Source organism: Homo sapiens, chromosome 20, assembly GCF_000001405.40.
Source record: "Homo sapiens chromosome 20, GRCh38.p14 Primary Assembly".
Classification (NCBI taxonomy): domain Eukaryota; kingdom Metazoa; phylum Chordata; class Mammalia; order Primates; family Hominidae; genus Homo; species Homo sapiens.
In genome coordinates this window covers 50,085,521-50,106,827 of record NC_000020.11, presented here as the reverse complement: position 1 = coordinate 50,106,827, position 21,307 = coordinate 50,085,521, and the positions used below count along the sequence as shown (strand labels likewise).

At 42.5% G+C, this 21,307-nt stretch overlaps 2 protein-coding genes across 20 annotated transcripts in view, besides 1 other annotated feature; both read left to right on the top strand.

Moving 5' to 3' along the window:
- Window positions 1-21,307, top strand: part of PEDS1-UBE2V1 (PEDS1-UBE2V1 readthrough) — a 72,600-nt gene that overhangs the window by 46,896 nt on the left and 4,397 nt on the right. The window contains exon 6 of the mRNA NM_199203.3: window positions 10,008-10,156. Within this exon, the coding sequence (NP_954673.2) occupies window positions 10,008-10,156 (149 nt within the window). The remainder of the gene's footprint in view (window positions 1-10,007; window positions 10,157-21,307) is intronic.
- Window positions 1-21,307, top strand: part of UBE2V1 (ubiquitin conjugating enzyme E2 V1) — a 34,834-nt gene that overhangs the window by 9,130 nt on the left and 4,397 nt on the right. For 7 of the 19 annotated variants that reach the window (NM_001257393.2, NM_199144.3, NM_021988.6 and 4 more), the window contains one exon: window positions 10,008-10,156. The exons of 3 other annotated variants lie outside the window; for them this stretch is intronic. In NM_001257393.2, coding sequence (NP_001244322.1) covers window positions 10,008-10,156 — 149 coding nt within the window. Of the gene's footprint in view, window positions 1-2,336; window positions 2,455-7,846; window positions 7,947-10,007; window positions 10,346-10,557; window positions 11,414-21,307 lie in introns of those variants that run through there. 9 more of the 19 variants (NR_104218.2, NM_001282580.2, NM_001282575.3 and 6 more) reach the window with 7 other exon arrangements.
- Window positions 6,903-7,566: an enhancer, noted in NCBI's record as "NANOG-H3K4me1 hESC enhancer chr20:48715799-48716462 (GRCh37/hg19 assembly coordinates)". NCBI's record gives its function as "activates a minimal SCP1, AML or CMV promoter by ChIP-STARR-seq in naive H9 embryonic stem cells {active_cell/tissue: H9 hESC(naive)}" and the evidence as "EXISTENCE:reporter gene assay evidence [ECO:0000049][PMID:30033119]".

The following is a 21,307-nucleotide window of genomic DNA, read 5'->3' as shown; positions in this document are numbered from 1 at the left end:
GTTTCACTCTTGTTGCCCAGGCTGGAGTGCAATGGTGCTATCTTGGCTCACCGCAACCTCTGCCTCCCAGGTTCAGGTTCAAGTGATTCTCCTGCCTCAGCCCCCTGAGTAGCTCGATTACAGGCATGCGCCACCACGCCCAGCTAATTTTGTATTTTTAGTGGAGACGGGGTTTCTCCATCTTGGTCAGGCTGTTCTCGAACTCCCGACCTCAGGTGATCCACCCATCTCTGCCTCCCAAAGTGTTGGGATTACAGGTGTGAGCCACCACGCCCAGCCAGCTCTACCATTTTAATTCAAGACCTAGGCCAGGGTTTTCCAAGATTGACATGCTGTGGTAGCTGCTGCTTGGTGGCCATGATTTTCCCAAAAGATGTTTTAAACGACTTCAGAATCCTTTTTGTACCACAAATATATTAATATGTTGCTGTGTTTCAGATTACTGCATTAAATGTTTTACTGTGGCATGGTGTAAAGCTCTATCAAATATTCATGCTTTTTCAACCTGGTTGCCATATTTTCTTTGTAATATCCTGCAACTGCTGTCTTTTCAGTTTATATTTAGCTAAGAGAATAACCGGCTGACTTTTGATACTGACACAGGTCCAGGAAAAAGCCTTCTGGAAAGAATAATTCTGAAATAATAGGAACAAATATTTTCTTCAAAAAGTCTTGGATTACTGTGATATTTTAGCACCTTGATGAAGTTTTTTTTTTTAGCATTTTCATAATTCACTTTTTAATAGTCATAGTCTATTTGATTATACTTATCATTAGCTATAGATTTTCCTAGTGTACTTCCTAGCTATTATAGAGCCTGTAGTTCTCTTGGTTTTGCAAGATTATAAGAGTCCTTTTGTTTGTTTGTTTTTTGTTTTTTTGTTTTTTTGTTTTTTGTTTTTTTTGACGAGTCTCTGTTGCCCAGGCTGGGCTGCAGTGGCATGATCGCAGCTCACTGAAACCTCCACCTCCCGGGTTCAAGTGATTGTCATGCCTCAGCCTCCCAATTAGCTGGGATTGCAGGCATGTGCCACCACAACTGGCTAATTTTTGTATTTTTAATAGAGATGGGGTTTCACCATGTTGGCCAGGCTGGTCTCAAACTCCCACCTCGGCCTCTCAAAGTACTGAGATTACAGGTGTGAGCCACTGCGCCTGGCCTGTAAGAGTCCATTTTTATGTCTTCCATATTGTCACTTGATGCTGTTTCTCCAGCTGCCTTTTTGGTGTCAGATTCACACAGAAATATTGGGAATCCTAAAATTTTATGTTGATTCAATTGATTAAAGTGCTAGAGGACCAAAACATATGTTAGAGTATTCTTGGGTTTTCTCATCTGTTGTGCTTCTGTTCTTTGGCATATGTACGTTTAATTTTTTAATATATTCACTAAAATGTTTTGTTTAATGTACCGTGATTTTGAATTTAAACTCTATTTAGGATAGGATGAGCTTTTCGCTTGTCACTGATACATCCTGAAGTCTGCAGGATCTCTGAATTCCAACCATATTTGGACTTATGTCCCTGGAGTAGACCCTGAATTCTATAACTAGGGTGTGATTAGGCCATTTGGAATTAAATGCTCTTTTGTTTTGTAGAAAATATTGATGTAACTTTGTATGCAGTTTTTAAATGGTTTGAAATATTAGTAACTTGCTTTCATACATACTTTATGAAACAAAGTTCATTTTATAGTGAAGAATTCTTTGACTTATGTGATTTGGGTGAGAAACCAGTTTTCCCTTATTTTAAAAAAAATGGTAAGTTTTCCTAAAATTCTCATTTATTAAAAATAAAACTAGGCTGGGTGTGGTGGCTCATGCCTGTAATCCCAGCACTTTGGGAGGCTGAGGCAGGTGGATCACTTGAGGTCAGGAGTCTGAGACCAGCCTGGCCAACATGGTGAAACCCCGTCTCTACTAAACATATGAGAATTAACTGGGTGTCGTGGCGCGTGCCTGTAATCCCAGCCACTCGGGAGGCTGAGGCGGGAGAATCGCTTGAACCCAGAAGGTGAAGGTTGAAGTGAGCCGAGATTGCGCCATTGCACTCCAGCCTGGGTGACAGAGTGAGACTCCATCTCTAAAAATAAATTAGAAATGGTTACCAAATTTTACTTATCTCAAAATAAAAAACCTTAGGTATGTTAATTTTTTTTTTTTTTTTTTTTTTGTGCCAGAGTCTCACTGTCGCCCTGGCTGGAGTGCAGTGGCGCAATCTCGGCTCACTGCAGGCTCCGCCCCCTGGGGTTCACGCCATTCTCTTGCCTCAGCCTCCCGAGTAGCTGGGACTACAGGCAGCCGCCACCTTGCCCGGCTAATTTTTTGTATTTTTAGTAGAGACGGGGTTTCACCGTGTTAGCCAGGATGGTCTCGATCTCCTGACCTCGTGATCCGCCCGCCTCGGCCTCCCAAAGTGCTGGGATTATAGGCGTGAGCCACCGCGCCCAGCCAGGTATGTTAATTATATGGCAACAGTGTCCAATATTTTGGACCCAGTAGATTAGAGTTTACAATAGGAAATACTGCCTTTTTTTTTTTTTTTTTTGAGACGGAGTCTGGCCCTATTGCCAGGCTGGAGTGCCGTGGCGCGATCTCGGCTCACTGTAACCTCCGCCTCCCAGGTTCAAGCAATTCTCCTGCCTCAGCCTCTCGAGTAGCTGGGATTACAGGCGCGCACCACCACGCCCAGCTAATTTTTGTATTTTTAGTAGAGACAGGGTTTCACCACGTTGGCCAGGATGATCTCGATCTCCTGACCTCGTGATCCGCCTGTCTCAGCCTTCCAAAGTGCTGGGATTACAGGCATGAGCCACCACGCCTGGCCTGATACTGCCATTTCTTCAACCAGCAAACATTTATTGATATTGAGTATCATTATATGCCAGACAGCATACCAGATTCTGGGGAGGCGGGATTGAATGAGTCACAGCTCTGACTTGAGAAACTTAGAGAGTGAGTCAGACAATAAAAAAGGAAGAAAATCAAATGTAAAGAAAACATACCACACATGCCTGTGTGGAAGTAAAGGTGTTTGGGACCGGGACCGGGGTCTCTGAGAGGGCCTCTCCTGACTGCCTGGCTTCTAATTAAGCTTTATAGCTTTTAAAATTATTATAGTCAGGCCGGGTGCAATGGCTGATGCCTGTAATCCCAGCACCTTGGGAGGCCAAGGCGGGCAGATCACTTGAGGCCAGGAGTTTGAGACCAGCCTAGCCAACATGGTAAAACCCCGTCTCTACTGAAAATGCAAAAATTAGCTGGGCGTGGTGGCAGGCGCCTGTAATCCCAGCTACTTGGGAGGCTGAGGTGCAAGAAACACTTCAACACAGGAGACCGAGGTTGCAGCGAGCCAAAATCACACCACTGCACTCCAGCCTGGGTAACAGAGTGGGACTCTGCCTCTTAATATATAACTGTTCTTAGGCTTTAAAATTCATACTAAGCCCCTTTAATAATCCTTATAATGTTAGACTCCCAGATAATGGTGCTGTGAATGTTTCTCTCTTGTATTTTCAAAAATAAACCAGATTAGAATTTTGTGACATTGAGCGTTGTTCATTCTGAAATACTGTTCCTAGCTAATACCTAGTCATTCATTAATTCTTTCAATAAGTATTTGGGTGCTTACTCTAGAGGGCAAAACACCCTGACACATTGGAGATTCAGCAGTGAACAAAACAGATGAAGTTTTACTCTCATGGAGCTTATGTTCAGATGGGAGACAGACAAGAAACAACCAATAAAGTGAAAATGAATATATTTACAATGTCGAGTGGCAATGAGTACTATGAAGAAAAATAAGGCAAGATAAGGGAATGGACAGTTAGACCCTTGGTTGAGGACAAGGGAACCAGTCAGCCATTCACAGCTCTGGGACAGAGAATTCCAGGGTGAGGGACTCACAAATACAAAGGCGGGATGTAAGGATGCCTCTTCAGAAACTTAGAGAAGGACTGGTGTAGCTGGAGGAGGATGGGGGAGCAAGGCAGAGTGGCACAAAATGATGTTGGCGAAGCAGGTGGGGCTCTCTCGGCCAGGTGACAAGTTTGGGTGGATTGCGGGTGCAACGGGAGGCCAAGAGTAGGCTTCTGGTAGGAGAGCGAGGGCACCTAGTTTACCTTTAAGAGGATCGTCGGCCGAGCACGGTGGCTCACACCTGTAATCCCAGCACTTTGGGAAGCTGAGGCCAGCGGATCACCTGAGGTCGGGAGTTCGAGACCAGCCTGACCAACATGGAAAAACCCCGTCTCTACTAAAAATACAAAATTAGTCAGGCATGGTAGCGCATGTGGGAGGTAATATATCCATTACTCTGACCTGTCTTTTAAAAACAGAGTGGTAGACCAGGTATCCTTACGTTAGTGATTCTGGGTCATGACACCCCAAGATCATTGGTGAGAGTACAATGAACATGCAAGGATGCATACAAGGTTGCTTTTGTGTTTGTTTTTTAGAAAATGAGGTTTGCAGACCTTTTGTCCTTTTTTACTCGATTTAAAAAATTTTCAACAGGTATTTATCTGAAGTACTGGGTACAGGCCAGTTTTTTTGTTTTTTGTTGTTGTTGTTTTTTGAACTACCACCACAGTCATGCAAATGAATATGAGCTGTTGAATTAATTACCCTATCTTCTACATCTCTTCTACTTCCCATCACGCAGGCCTATAAGAAGTTTGATGCCACATGTTCGGTCACAGTGTTTGCTCTAGGCAAATGCTTCTGGCTCTATATCCTGAGACGTTAGCAGTAGCACACCCCAAAGCTGATCATTACCTAGGAGACTTGGATATGCCTTATCTCTTGCCCTACTCTGAGCCTTTTGCAGCTCCCCCCGATTACCCTTAAGGTAAAGTCCAGTAGTAACATGGCTCCAACCTCTTCATCTTTTGTCAGATTTCAGAGAAGGCTGTGAGCCCTCAAAGGCTAAGTAACAGTGTCCTCTGGTAGGTTCTGTTTCTCGTGCTTTGATATGGTTTTATTTCATTGCCCTTTGTGTATATCTTGTTTCCACACTGACACCTTAGACTGTGTTAGGGAGACCCCAGTTTTTATTTTGTTCATAGCCCCTAGATTGTCTAGCAAAGTGCTGGATAGGTATTGGATAACTATCACACTGAGAGAAGGTGTGTGTGCCTATATGTTACTGATAATTTATGTATAGGGAAATTTTGACAAGCAGGTAAAAAGCCAAGCAAACTTTTTTTCACTGTGGTCCTGAAATGTGTAAAATTTTTTTTTTTTTTTTTTTTTTTTTGCTTATAAATGTGAAGTCCAGTTCTATACACATTAAACATCATGAGAATTGCTTGAACCTAGGAGGCAGAGGTTGCAGTGAGCTGAGATTGCGTCATTGCACTCCAGCCTAGGGAACAAGAGCGAGACTTTGTCTCAAAAAAAAAAAAAAAAAAAGTTCTTTGAGGTCTTCAATGATTTTGAGAGTATAAAGCATTCTTGAGAGCAAAAGGTTTGAGAACTGCTGTTCAAATGAAATAAATGTTTATTGTAATTGTTCAGTAGATAGCAGTTATAGATATTTATATGTATATCACAACTCCTAGTTGCAATACAGATAGATATTGGCCAGTCCAAAGTTTTTCATTTATTAAACTGTTTCTGGTGCTGGCTTTACAACTTGAGTCAGAATCAAATTGTCCTATAATGCAGGAACAAAAGAAAGCTGACCTTTCCCTCTGTGGGTCTCAATTCCTGTTCCAAATCCTAGCCTAAAATAAATTGACCTGACTTATTTCTTTGGTTCAGTTGTATGTGTGGGCTTTGCACACTTGTTTTTAAGTAATCGAATATCTAATCCAGTAGAAATGTATGTTGGAAGTATAGGATTAATTACTAATATATTTTGCCCTACTTCACAAGTAAAAATTAAATATCAGAAAATTATAACTTGAATTCACTGTTTTGAAACTAATAGCAACAAGCTTGTGATATTTGAATGTTAGGATTTCCTAATCAGATCTGATTGTTAGGTGAAAAGGTAACCTTTCAGCCATAGAGAAGTTCTTTGCTTAAGTTTGCAAGAGGAATAGTCCTACTATAAATAGTCCAGCTGACATTTAAATACCTGACATAAGAAACTAACACATTTTTTTGTCTTGCCAAAAAGAGCAACTCAAAATAGAGGTCACTTGTGTAATACAGCTTCCATTCAGTAATGAAGGGCTTAACTGTAGAAGCTGTTATACTTTGCCATTTATTTGACAGTCTTAACACTTTTTTTTTTTTGGAGATGGAGTCTTGCTCTGTCACTCAGGCTGGAGTGCAGTGGTGCAACCTCAGCTCACTGCAACCTCTGCCTCCAGGGTTCAAGCAATTTTTCTGCCTCAGCCTCCCGAGTAGCTGGGACTACAGGTGCACACCACCACGCCCGGCTAATTTTGTATTTTTAGTAGAGACGGAGTTTCATCATACTAGCCAGGCTGATCTTGAACTCTTGACCTCATGATCCACCCACCTCGGCCTCCCAAAGTGCTGGAATTACAGGTGTGAGCCACCGCGCCCCGTCTTTTTTTTTTTTTTTTTTTTAAATAGAGACAGGTTCTTGCTCTGTTGCCCAGGCTGGAATGCAGTGGCGTGATCATAGCTCACTACAGACTTGACCTTCCAGGCTCAAGCAGTCCTCCTGTCTCAGCCTCCTAAGCAGCTGGGACTACAGGTGTGCACCACCACACCCAGCTAATTTATTTATTATTTTTTGTTTATTTTTGGTTTTTGAGACAGGGTCTCACTCTGTCGCCCAGGCTGGAGTGCAGTGGTGCAGTCTCGCCTCACTGCAACCTCCGCCTTCCTGGCTCAAGTGACCCTCCCCTCTCAGCCTCCTGAGTAACTAGGACTACAGGTGGGCACCACCATGCCCAGCTAATTCTTGTATTTTTTTGTAGACATGAGATTTCTCCATGTTGCCCAGGCTGATCTCGAACTCCTGGCCTCAGACGATTGTCTTGGCCTCTCAAAGTGCTGGGATTACAGGTGTGAGCTGCCATACCCAGCTGACCAAGTTTTAGTAACATTAAAATCATTGTCCATTAAAAGTTAGTCACTTAAGGAATGCCGTTAAGTGAGATTCCTACTCAGAGAAGAACCCTTGATCCTTATTGAGATGAAGTGCTGGACAACCAAAGCCCTAAAGAAGCTGAGGGAGCTTGGCTTATGGATTCCTAGGGGAAGGAGCCTTCTGGACAGCAGGAATGACAGTCGCACAGGCCCTGGGTAGGTCCTTGCGTGGGGGTGCAGTTGAAATGGTTCCTAATTGGTTTTTTGTTATGCAAATAACATGGGATTGTTGTAAAAAAATCAGGAAATAGAGAAAGTAGGGGGAATCATCCATAATTCTTTTACCCAGAGATAACAGCTGTTAACATCTTGTTCTGTATCCTTACCAACTCTATAAAGCTCCTTAAGATGTCACTTATCATCTATATGAGTTTGCTAGTGCTGTCATAACAAAATACCATAGACTGGGTGGGGCTTAAACAACAAATTTCTCACAGCTCTAGAGACCAGAAGCCCAAGATCAAGGTGTCAGCAGGTTTTGTCACATTCTGAGGTACTGGGAGTTAGGACTTAAGTATATAAATTTGAGGGGAACACAGTTCAGCCCAGCCCATAGCACGATCTGTGAACAAGTACCTCAGTCATCAGCCTTCCTATCAATATGATTCTTTTGATGTTCATTTTTATTAGTGCAGGCTTGTAAATTAACCAGTAGTAATGTAGTGACTTTTCCCCCGCTAGCCTAATTAGGATTATTAAAGATTTAGATTGAACCCTTTCTGAACAATAGTTGTGTTGTCTGGCTTTTTGCCTATAATGTCACCACTATCTTTCAGTTTTATGTTTGCTACAGGAGACTTAATCCAGTATAGCTGAATAATCCAGTTGGCTGCTGTGCAGATGAAAATGCCAGTGTTTTCCAAACAAGCAGTTCAAGTATGCTTGCAGGTTTTGCTGTTTCCTTTCAAATACCATATGTAGTACTATTTAATATTTTTCTTGTAATCAACTGACTCTTTTGCTTACATTTATTTTAAAGGAAACTTTTACCATTATTATAAATGGGAAGTTAGTATATTACTTACCCTAAATAAGTTATTCTTAAACATAAATACGTGACTGTAAAACGAAGTGTTCAATCACATACCACCGAAAGTCCTCTAACATACCACTACCAACTCTGTCCTTCAGTTGCTTGGACCAAAAACCTGGGAGCTGTAGTTGACTCTTGTCTCTCACACCTCACAGGCAACCTGATAGCAAATCTCCACAGCTCAGACCTCTGAAATGCCTAGAATTACGCCACTCCTCACTACTTTCCTGCTATCACCCTGGTCCAAACGGGTATTATCTTTTGCTAGGATTATTGCAGTAGCCTCCTAGCTGCTTCTGCCCTTGCTCCCTTCACTCTCATCCTCACACAGCAGTCTGAGGGATCCTATTAAAAACAAGACAGATCATGTCACTCAGTAACAGTTGGCATCCTTAATCTCCTCTTGCTCTCTCATCTTCCTCACTTGGTTTGAGCTAAATTGGCCTCCTTGCTGTCCTTTGACACCCTAAGCAGCCTCTATTTTAGGGCCTTTGCACTTGTTTGCTCTGTCTCAAAGACTTTCTCCTCAGCTATCCATAAATCATGCCCTCTCACCTTCTTTAGGTCTTTAGTTATGACACCTGATTGCAATAACACTTTTCCTTTATCCCTCCATTTAAAAGTATAGCCCCTCCCGTATTACTCCCTCCTCCGGAACACCAGGATCTGTCATACTGTATAATTTACATATTCATTTTTGTCCATTATATGTCTTCTACTAGAATGTAAGCTGCAGGCATTTTTGTTTTATTCACTGCTTGTTCTTCAGTGCTTAGAAAAGTCCCCGATGTATACTAAGTACTCAAATATTTATTCCAATTGAATTAATGGCGTGTGTCCTACACTTTGGGAAATACATATACTGGCAACACCTCCCACAATCTGGGGTCCCTCCAGTGAGCCTCTCTTCACAGTCACATGGTTAGTCCTGTTTGTCTCTGAGAGTCTGGCCAATTGAGAGCTCAGCATTCAAGGCAGAGAACTTGAAACTTGACTGGATCCTGAGTTTTTTCCAGAGAAAATAGTGCATATGCCAGGGAAAATGGAGGAAGGAGAGACAGTCAGGATTGGTTGGGAGTGCAACCCTAGGAGAGATGATTTGTTCCCCAAGCACAGAAGGAAAGTCCATCTCTCTCTCCTCCCATAGCCCCCTCCCTTGTCTGGCCCCAGTACCTAGGTTCTGTTCTGGAAGACACCTAGAAATGGCTCAAGCCTCAGCCTGAACCCGGTACTGTGGCTTGAACCTGTGAGGTGTTTTCATGCGTTGCTTTCAAGAGCTACTTGCCAGGCTTTGGGATTTTTGGAAAACAATTGAGAACCAGCTATTCCCTTTTAGCTTTTTTGTAAGTTAAAAGAGAAACTATCACTTAAATAATTGAAAAACAATAGAATATTTTATCCTTGGTGCCTTCAGTTGACTCTTAGTTGATTAAGAGGATACCATTTTTATTTCCCATATCCATGGTGACTATTCCTCCTAAAGGTTGTTTGAGAGTCATGCCAACAAATAAGCGTAGTCTTAGCCTCTTGTCTTCCAAGGTACTTTTGTTAGCACCTGATATTGATGGTTTTCATCTCATACTAGTTGACCCCAATTCATAGACATTTAGACATGTAAGCCCCTTAGGAGGTTTGTCCAAGGGGTAGGGGTGGGGTATCTTTCTAAGTTTGGTTATCTAGCCCTAGTCACTTCACCTGTCAGAGAACCATGTGCCCCTTCCCTCTGGTTGTGCTGGTTGATACTGATAGCTTTATAAGTAGCAAGTTTGAGGTGTGATAACTTTCCGTGATTTTTTTGCATGTTAGCATCTTGATTCCCAGGGAGAGATAATGAGCAGCTAGCTCTAGGCTTACAAGTTCCCCTGGAGTTGCTGGTATCTTGAATTTCTTTCCATTTATTTTAGGAGTAAAAGTCCCTCGCAATTTCCGACTGTTGGAAGAACTCGAAGAAGGCCAGAAAGGAGTAGGAGATGGCACAGTTAGCTGGGGTCTAGAAGATGACGAAGACATGACACTTACAAGATGGACAGGGATGATAATTGGGCCTCCAAGAGTAAGCGTCGAGCTACGGCTATAAATGTCAATGTCTTAAATTCACTGTGCCTCCTTTTAAAAAATATTAGCCTTATCACGGAAAAAAAGCTCACCAATGGTATATTTTCTGAAATGTGGCTATTCTTTTTTGACCAGTTTCAGTTTATATATTTGAACCTCCTCTGATGCTGTTTAACCCCTCTAAATGGTAAGCAAAAACCTGTTTAGACTCATAGTGTGAATTTATATGACAATGTAGACAGTGAGGTGTGAAGTCATTGCACCATCAGATGTCGTTCAGAACAATCTCTGGGCTAACCAAATAACTAGGCCCTAGGTATAGCCAGCATTCCTGAAGCCAGTCTCCAAATTAACTCTGGAAAGCCTTCCCAGTTGTGGTTTTTCTTCACTGTCTCCCAGGTCTGCCGTGCACCTGTATCCTAGTTCCTTGGGCCATTCAGCAAAGGTCCCTGGCAAGCCTGTCAGCTCCTGGTCTATTCCAGGCACTACTAGACCCAGAGGCCTTTGCAAAGAAGACGAAGACAATGAGGATGGGGAAAAGTGGCCTCTTTCAGACCTTCCTGATTTGTGAGAGTTCCCAGTCTTCATAATGCCAGCCAACCGTTTTTTGAGGACACATAGTAAACCCTCAAGAAATGTCTCTTAACTCTCACAAGACCCCATTGTTAGGTGCAATTGCATTCCATTTCACAGATGAGGAGACAGACTCAGAGGAGTCAGATCTCTTGCCCAAAGTCACATAGCTGGTAACCCCCAAACCAGATCTGACTCCAGAGCCTGTGCTCTTAACCACTGTGCTGTGGTGTCTCCCTTTTGTTTACATTTTGAGTTTTCATCTGTTACCATTATAGAAGATACTAATCAAGTAGTAACTTGATGTAGGAGTCAAGAAATTGATTTCCATACTGTGACACACACTTCAGACAAGCAGTAAGGGCCTCTGCCTGAATGTAGCAAGACCTGTCCTGTGTCTGCTTGTGTTTAAGGATGATGACAACATTCATTCTTTTGATTGTGTGCAGGACTCTGCACTAGCACTGTGAGAGCAGAAAGACATGTAGGGCGTGGCCCGGGCTGGAACAGGGACAAGTGACATGTTCGTTAAGTGTTAGGACACTAATGCTCATTTCAGATGGTCATCAACACTCATGGTGAATGATTGGCTTTGCCATTTAATGTTGCTTCTTAAGTCATTTTGTGACCCTATAGTTTTGTGGAGTTTTAAAAATATATACATTTGATCTGTTTTTACTCATTTCTTTATCCTTTTTTTCCTGTGAAAACCAGAATTTTCTGCGTCTGCTAAATACCGGGGAAAACCCAATCTAGAAATCCTGTTTCTCCATGGAGATAATTTTCTTTGCTGTCTCTGAAGGTCCATCATATGCTGACATCTTCTTCACTGCATGTCTTCTCTTCCTAAGAATGATTTCGGTTTCTTGAGGATGAGAACTGTGCTTCCCTCCTTACTTCCCAGAATACCTAGAAATGACTCAGAATGGGGTACTCAGTAGATTTGTTAATCAACTTACTGATTTACAGGTTCTAAAATACTGAGAATTGAACCAATGTACAACATTGCGATACACTAAATACCACTGAATTGTACACTTTCAAAAAAACACACAAAACAATGCATCAGTAAATTCTGCTGAAAATATTCTGTCTGCCTAAAACAGCTTGGGCTACCCTGAATTTCAGTTTATCTCTTTCCAAAAGAGGCTTTGGAAGTTGTAATGCGTAGCTACGGTATGCCAGGAGTCCTCCATGTATTTGTTTTTGGTAACAGCTTTATTGGGATAGAATTCACCCTTTTAAATATACAGTTCGGTGGTCTTACATTCAGAGTTGTGCATCCGTCACTAATTTCAGAACGTTTTCATCACCTCAAAAAGGAACCCATACCCATCGGTAGGCACCCCCCATTCTCCCTCCCACATCCCCCATTTCCCATCTTTGACAATCATCAGTCTACTTTCTAGCTCAATGAATTTGCTTTTTCTGAACATCTATTATAAATGGAATTCTACAGTATGTGGCCTTTTGTGACTGGCTTCCTTTACTCAGCATAATTTTTTCAAGGTTCAAGCATATTGTAGCATCTATCAATACTTTTATTCTTCTTATGGCTGAATAATATTCCATTGTACAGATACGCCATATTTTGTTTTTCCATTTGTTGATGAACATTTGGGTTGTTTCTACCTTTTGGCTATTATAAATAATGCTTCTAGGAACATTTATATACAGGTTTGTATGTGGACATATATTTTCTTTTTATTTTTTTATCTACACCTGCTGGAATAGATGGACATAGTTGTTTTTAGCTACCTAATTTTTCCTCCTTTGAAGATGGACATATATTATATATAATTATATATTATATAATGCATTATATATTATATAATGCATTATATATTATATAATGCATTATATATTATATAATGCATATGTTATATATTATATATACTGTATATTTATATAACATATATGATATGTAATATATATTACATATAATTATATATAAGATATATAATTATAATATATAATATATTTTTATTTAAATAAAAGCAAATCCTCCAAGCCTATATATATTATATATATAACATACATAATATATTTTATATATATATATTTTATTATTATTATTATTATTATTTTTTTTTTTTTTTTTTTTTTTTTGAGTTGGAGTCTCGCTCTGTCTCCCAGGCTGGAGTGCAGTGGCGCAATCTCGGCTCACTGCAACCTCCACCTCCCGGATTCAAGCAATTCTCTGCCTCAGCCTCCCGAGTAGCTGGGATTACAGGTACCCGCCACCACGCCCAGCTAATTTTGTATTTTTAGTAGAGACGGGGTTTCACCATCTTAGCCAGGCTGGTCTTGAACTCCTGACCTCATGATCTACCCACCTCGGCCTCCCAAAGTGCTGGAATTACAGGTGTGAGCCATCGCGCCCTGCCGGAGATACATTTTTGAATTCCCCTGGGTGTATACCTAGGAGTGGAATTGCTGGATCATATGGTAACTGTGTTTAACATTTGGAGGAAATGCCAAACTGTTTCCCAAAGTGGCTGCACCATTTTACATTCCTACTAGCAATGCCCGAAAGTTCCCATTTCTCCACATTCTCACCAACACTTGTTATTGTCTTTTCACCCTTGTAGTTTTTATTATCCTGGTTCCCCAAGGTCAGAAACTAAGTCATAAAAGGAACTATCTGTGTGTAGATGCTTCCTGTGACCAATCTTTCATGATTAGCACATGAGCTATTTGCTGTGTAACTCGAATATCCACATAATTATTAAAGCATCTAAATAGAGCACTTGAGTAACTCATCTCCCTATTAGGTTTTTGTTATTGTTTTACTCAAAAGAACATTTTCCATCAAAATTTCAAAGGTCTATACCATGTGATCCAGGAATTCTTCTAGGAATTTACTTTCCAATTTCTCTTGAATGTATTGCCCAAAGGCAGTGTACAAAATTATTTCATGCAGCATTGTCAGTAGTAGCAAAATATTGGAAACAACATCATTGTCTTTGAGTATACCATATTATGTCCTGTTTAGCTGTTGAACAATGAGACAGATTTATGTGTGCTGAAATGGAATGATCTCCATGATATTGTGAAAAAGTAAATTATAAAACAGGAGACAGAGTATGCTGCCAGTTGGAGTGGGGGGCCTTGGGTGCAGAGGAAGAGCTCATGCATACACTGCTTCTGTGTGCTTAGAATACCTCTGGAGGAATGGGAAAGAAGCTGCTGACAGTGGTTGTCTTCTTCAGAAGGGAGCTGGCTGGCTAGGGCTGGAGTGGAAAGGAAACTTACTTTTTACCATATACCCTTCTGTACTCTTTGAATGTTTTAGTCATATGTGTGTGCTGTTTGAATAGTGCCCCCACCTTTTTTGTTTGTTTGTTTATTTAAAGAAAAGCAAATCCTCCAAACCTAAAAACAAAGCTTCTGAGCCAACTGCTCCTTGCACAATTCTGGCAAATGTCTAGCTGTCCACAGCGTTAGACATGGAATATTTCTACTTTGACCACAGAAGTACTAACAATAGTCAAGTTATATAGAGCAGAGTTTCTCAGACGTGGCATGTAGGGCTGGTTCTTTTCTTTGTCATGAGAGTGCTAGGTATGTGCGTTGTAGGCTGTTTAGCAGCATCCCTGGCCTCTACTCACTAGAAGCCAGCAGTACCCCCGTCTCCATTGCAGCAACCATAAATGTGTCTAGGCAACGCTTGATCCTCCCTTCCCCTTCCCAGCAGAGGGGCAAAAATGGCCCTCATCGAGGAGCACTGTTGAGCCTCTGGGGTTCTCCAAAATAGTGTTTTTTCTGTTTTTTTGAGATGGAGTCTTATTCTGTTGCCCAGGGTGGAGTGCAGTGGCGTGATTTCAGCTCACGGCAGTCTCTGTCTCCCGGGTTCAAGCGATTCTCCTGCCTCAGCCTCCCTAGTCGCTGGGGTTATAGGCACATACCACCACACCCGGCTAATTTTTATATTTTTAGTAGAGACAGGTTTTTGCCGTGTTGGCCAGGCTGGTCTCAGACTCCTGACCTCAGGTGATCCGCCCACCTTGGTCTCTCAAAGTGCTGGGATTACAGGCATGAGCCCACCACACCCGGCCAAGTGTTTTATGTGTGGATTAGAGCCTGGATGTGTGTTTATACCCTGGAGTACTGGTACCCATGCTTCAGAGGAACTGAACATAATTACAGGGGTGTAGGAAGTAAAAGAAAAGTGATCCTTTCTCTGATTCATTATGCTCACCATCGAATGAAACTTAAGTTGGTGTGTGGTGTGGTTCTACCCACTTTTGCTGTGGGTATGCAAACGTAAATATATATCTTTTTAAGAAAAATGGGATCTTCCTATGCATAATGTTTTACAACTTAATTTTTTTTCACCTAATAGATGGTGGACATCTTTCTATATCAGTGCATATTGACTGATCTCTTTTTTAAAAGCTTTGAGGCGGGGCGTGGTAACTCACGCCTGTAATTCCAGCACTTTGGGAGGCCAAGGCGGGCAGATCACCTGAGGTCAGGAGTTCAAGACCAGCCTGGCCAATATGGCGAAACCCGGTCGCTACTAAAAAAGTATAAAAATTAGCTGGGCGCGGTGGCAGATGCCTGACTCAGGAGGCTGAGGCAGGAGAATCACTTGAACCTGGGAGGTAGAGGTTGCAGTAAGCCGAGATCGCGCCACTGCTTGCAACAAGAGCGAGACTCCATCTCAAAAAAAAAAAAAAAAAAGCCTTAAGTTATATGACTGATTAATGAATATGAATATATTCTTGTAAAAATTTTTAATGACAAAAGCCCAGGTGTGGTGATTCACGCCTGTAATCCCAGCGCTTTGGGAGGCCGAGGCAGGTGAATCACTTGAGGTCAGGAGTCGAGACCAGCCTGGCCAACATGTTGAAACCCCATCTCTACTAAAAATACAAAAATTAGCTGGGCGTAGTGATGCACGCCTGTAGTCCCAGCTACTCAAGAGGCTGAGGAGGGAGAATCGCTTGAACCCAGGAGGCAGAGGTTTCAGTGGGCCAAGATCATACCACTGGACTCCAACCTGGGTGACAGAGTGAGACTCTTGTCTCAAAAAAAATTTTTTTTCCAACAATACAGAGTATATAGAATAAGAGGTTAACTTAGTCCCGCTTTAACTCTGTGTCAGTCAGGAAAAGAGAAATCATACCAGCTAATTTTTTTCCCAGCTTTATTGAGATGTAATTGATAAATAAAAGCTGTATATATCCAAGGTATACAGTGTGATGATTTGATATACATTGTGTAATGATTACCACAACCAAATTAATCAACGCATCCATCACCACGTGTAGCTACCTTGTGTGTCTGTGGTAAGGACACTTAAGATCTACTCTTTTACCAAATTTCAAGTAAACAATCCAGTATTATTAACTGTAGTCACCATGCTTTACATTAGATTCCCAGAACTTACTCATAACTGAAAGTTTGTGCCCTTTGACCAGTATCTCCCCTTACACCCTGGTCCCTGTCAACCACTGTTCTGTTCTCTGCTTCTGTGAGTTCTACTTTTAGATTCCATGTATAATTGAGATCATACACTTTTTGTCTTTCTGTGTCTGGCTGATTTCACTTAGCATAATGTCCTTCAGGCTCATCTATGTTGTCATGACTAGCAAGATTTCTTTTTTTTTTTTTTTTTGAGACAGAGTCTCGCACTGTTGCCCAGGCTGGAGTGCAGTGGCGCCATCTCGGCTCACTGCAGCCCCCGCCTCCCAGGTTCAAGCAATTCTCCGACTGGCAGGATTTCTTATTTATGGCTGAATAATATTTCATTGTGTGATATATGCCATATTTTCTCTAGGACATTTAAGTTGTTTCCATATATTGGCTATTGTGAATAACTGCAATGAGTGTGGAAGTGCAGATGATCTCTTTGAGATACTGATTTAATTTCCTTTGGATTGATACCCAATACTAGGCAACAGAGATAATTTAATATAGGAAGTTGATCAAATAGATGTTGGACTAAAAAATCAAAGAAGGCACAATATGAGAACACAGAGATACTGCTGCAGAAACAGTAACCACCCTCTGGGTTTGGGAGGCCAGCAGAGGAAGCTTGGGCTGTCAGAACCTGGCACTTGGGGAAAAGGTGCCCCCTCTGCTGCTGCTGGCACCTGCGGGGCAGGGGCAAGCCTGGTTGGGGGAGTGCAAAAGACACTGAAGCCCAGAACCAGCTCTTGCTGCCGAGGTAAGGGGCTCATACTGGGGTGATACCTAAAGGAACAGCAAGCAAATGTGAAGGGTCAAATGCCTCCTACTTTTTATTTTCTATTAGGATCATGTGGTTAATTTGACCATTCAGTCCTTAAGAATATTTGAGTGCCACCCAAATATTCTACAACCTAACTAGAGAAGTGAAAACTTACTATTGCCTAGAGATGGGCCCCGTGCTCACTCAGAAAGATACCATGAATGGTGGGAAGAGGGAGAGTCTCTGTACAAAGGATAATTGTGTCTCGTCGCTGTGCAGAGAGGTGCCTGCTGCTGCTGGCTAGGAAACTCCAAGCCCACTTCTCTCCACTCTGCTTTGGATGCTGGGGCTGGGACTCTGCACACTACACTTTTCCTTTGTCAGCTGGCTTCCTCTGAAGGTTCCACCAGTCAGGGACACAAGAGAGAGCCTGAAAGGCATGGGGAAGGGAAAAGGGATTTGCTGTATCCAGTTTGCCTGTTTGTTCTGTCTGTACCACCCTGGTAACAGCCCTTCATCCTGGCATCAGCAGTGTGTTTCAACCTCCAGCTTTCTGGGGACATTCACAAAACCAGCCTCATCACATCCCGCCAAGCCCCCTCCTTGGAGGTTCTAGCAGCAGCCAGGCAGCACCCCTTCCTCAGAGTTCTGAGTTCAACTCTTCAGACCTCTTCCTTAGCCTCCAACCCTGGTAAACTCAACCCTGGTAAACTCCAGCTTATCCCCCCCTCCCTTAAGAGTTTCCATCCTGCTTCATTTCGTTATTACATCTGTGTTAGCTTAGATTCCCTTTGAACATTTTCAGTCCACTGACGCCTGTTTAAGCAATGTCTTATATTAAATTCTGTTATAAAACCTAGTGTGGAGTCTTTTTTCCTGATTTATCCCTAACTGCCATATCCCCACTCTTCTCCCCAACAGTTACTGTGATCTGCATTCTAACATAGCATGTACCCACATTGTACATTAAACGTAATTTGTATATAACTATGTAAGATTGGAACTGAATAGCAGGTGACTGGTTGACCTAATGTTTCCTTTTTGTATGTTTAGATTTTGTAATTTTCCTTGCATATTTTTGTAATTAATACCTTTTTCCTTTTCTCATATCTCATACTTTTTTTTTTTTTTTTGAGATAGGGTCTCATTCTGTCACCCAGGCTGAAGTTCAGTGACACAATCACAGCTCACTGTAGCCTTGACCTCCTGGGATCAAGTAATCCTCCTGCCTCAGCCTCCGAAGTAGCCAAGACCACAGGCGCACCACCACACCTGGCTAATTTTTTTTTACTTTTTGTAGAGACAGGGTCTCACTTTGTTGCCCAGGCTGGTCTTGAACTCCTGGGCTCACGCAGTCCTCCTGTCTTGGCCTCCCAAAGTGCTGAGATTACAGGCGTGGGCCACCGTGCCTAGCCTAGCTCATACATTTTTAAAACAAATTTTATTTTCTAATACTTACAGGCTTATAGAAAAGTTGCAAAGGTAGTACTTCCTGTGCTACCTTTTCCCTGTTGCTAGCATCTTATGTTATTATGGTACATTTGTCACAACCAATAAACCAACGTTGATACATTATTATTAGCTAAAGTCCATACTTTATTCAGGTGTTCTTAGTTTTTACTTATATCTGTTTTTTGTTCCAGAATCCCATCCAAGATACCACATTACACTTAGTCATCATATCTCTGGCTCCTCGTGGCAATGACATTTCTCAGGTTTTTCTTGTTTTTGATGCCCTTGGCTGTTTTGAGGAGTACTGGTCAGGTATTTTGTAGACTGTCTCTCTATTGGAATTTGTCTTTTTTTTTTTTTTTTTTTAATGATTAGACTGGGGTTATCTCATATGTATGCATTTGGCCCAGGAAAAATTTATAATCTCCAGGCTCTGGGCCTGTAGTGCCTAATGGACAAAGTAGCCTGTGTGCACACAAATATATCCAGAATTGGAAGAAAGTGTATGTCTGCTTTTATAGGCTATACATATCCTACAATGTATCGTCTATACCTGGTGCCATGTTTTGCCAGTCTTTCGTATGTGTGTGTGTGCCCAAGGAGTGTCCCTCGGCCTTTGAGAAGGCTACGAAGTCTCCGGGTTATATGAATATGCCATGTTCATATAGTCCCTTGCAAGGAGACATGTAGATTGTAGTTATTTTTGCTATTGCAGACAGTGCTTCACATTTTGTGCACAAGTTTGCGTCTCTCTGAAGGAAATTGCTAGGAAGGGGCCTGCTGGTCTGAGCATGCCCATTTCACATGTTGATGAGCACTGCCAAACGGCTCCACAAAGCATGAGCCATATCAACAAAGTGGAAAGTGTTTGTTTCATGATCAAATAATGAATCTTAAGAGCAGTATTTCTCACAGACGCAGAATGTTCCAGCAATTCTCCTTCAGGCACATTTCCTTTGCTGAAACCTTTTTAGCAGGTCCCTGGAGCACTCATGAACAAAATAAAAAAACCAGAAACCCTGTAACCCTGGTTTCTATTAAAGTCTAGCTTGGGGCTTTTTTTTTTTTTTTTTGACAAAGTGTCGCAATGTCACCCAGGCTGGAGTGGAGTGGTGCAGTCTCGGCTCACTGCAACTTCCACCTCCCAGGTTTAAGCAGTTCACCTGTCTCAGCCCCCCGGTTAGCTGGGACTACAGGCACCTGCCAATATGCCTGGCTAATTTTTGTATTTTTAGTAGAGACAGGGTTTCATCATGTTGGCCAGATGGGTCTCGAACTCCTGACCTCAGGTTATCCACCCACCTCGGCCCCCCCAGATGCCGAGATTACAGGCGTCATCCACCGCACCCAGCCTTAGCTTGGGGTTTTTTGTTTTTTGTTTTTTGTTTTTGAGATGGAGTCTCGCACTGTCGCCCAGGCTGGAGTGCAGTGGCGCAATCTCGGCTCACTGCAAGCTCCACCTCCCGGGTTCGTGCCATTCTCCTGCCTCAGCCTCACAAGTAGCTGGGACTATAGGCGCCCACAACCACACCCGGCTAATGTTTTGTATTTTTAGTAGAGACAGGGTTTCACCGTGTTAGCCAGGATGGTCTCGATCTACTGACCTTGTGATCCGCCTGTCTCGGCTTCCCGAAGTGCTGGGATTACAGGCGTGAGCCAGCTCACCCGGCCTTAGGTTGGGGCTTTTAAATGACCCTTCAGGTGTGTGTCTGTGATGACTTGAGGCTTTTTTTTTTACTGTCTTCCAGTGAAATTACCAGATGAATATCAGTGGTGAGAAATTTGATTCCTTAAAATGTAAGGAATTTCATTCTTGAATTGTGTGACAAAACCAGGGAGCATGATTTTTGCTCCATTCAGGATCTATTCAGTCAACACTGAGTATATAGTTGTTGATGGAGACTATGATAGGTTCTGAGGATGGATCTGTTATATTCTCCATAAATCTGTATGTGAGTCATGCCTTTGTTTGCTTCCTACTTGTTCTGTTTACTGGGTTTTTTTTTTCTTTGAGGAAACACCTTAATTGCAATGAGGTGTTTATTTTATAATATAAAAGTGTGAAGAGAAACATTCAACAAACATTTGAGTACCAATTCAGTTGAGGGCCCCTGTCAAGGCCCCCACCCTCCTTTTTCTGTGTTTAGTGAGGGTGTCTGATGCATAACTGAGCCTCAGTTGGGAGGGGCTGAGGGGATCGGGAACACTTCCAAGGGGAAGCAGCTGGGGTGAGAGCCCCAAGGTGGAGAGAACTTGGCAAGGTTGAAGAGGAATGGTGGGCAGGGGAGGGAGAAGAGTAAAAGAAGAGGCAGTTAGGGCTGCCCGGGTCAGTCTGGGAACTTTGGCTTCCTCTTCAGGTCACTAGGAGCCATCAGAGGGTTAAGCCAGCAGAGACAGCTTCCTGTTTTTAAGACGTTGGTCTGGCTGCTGTGCCGGGAGCAAGAGAGAAAGAGACTTGGGGGAGTTCAGAAGAGGTGACGGTGGTGGAGGAAAGTGGATGGATATGGGGTCTCTTTCAGAGGTAGAACAGTGGGGTCTCTTTCAGAGGTAGAACAGTGGGACCTTCTGACCACTGGCAGGTAGAGGGTAAGGGAGAGGGGAATTGGGTTGCCTGCTAGTTTTTGCTTTAGCTAACTGGGTAGATGCTGATGTCATTCACTGAGGAGGAAGAGGGCAGGTTGAGGGTAGGTAGAAATTCACAGTTTTGGTTTGGTTGTAGTTTGGGATCCCTGTGGACAAGAAAAGTTTCCATGGGTATATTATGAATGCCTTCTGAATCAAGGGTTTAAATCACATCCTCTGATTTATTCTCCCCAAAGACCACTAGATGCCGCTGTTTACACGGGAGCAATTATGCAGTACAAGACTCCTTTCCTGAGGAGAGGGCACGGATGCCGGAGAGGGTACTGATGCCGGAGAAGGCACTGATGCCTGACAGGGGAACCC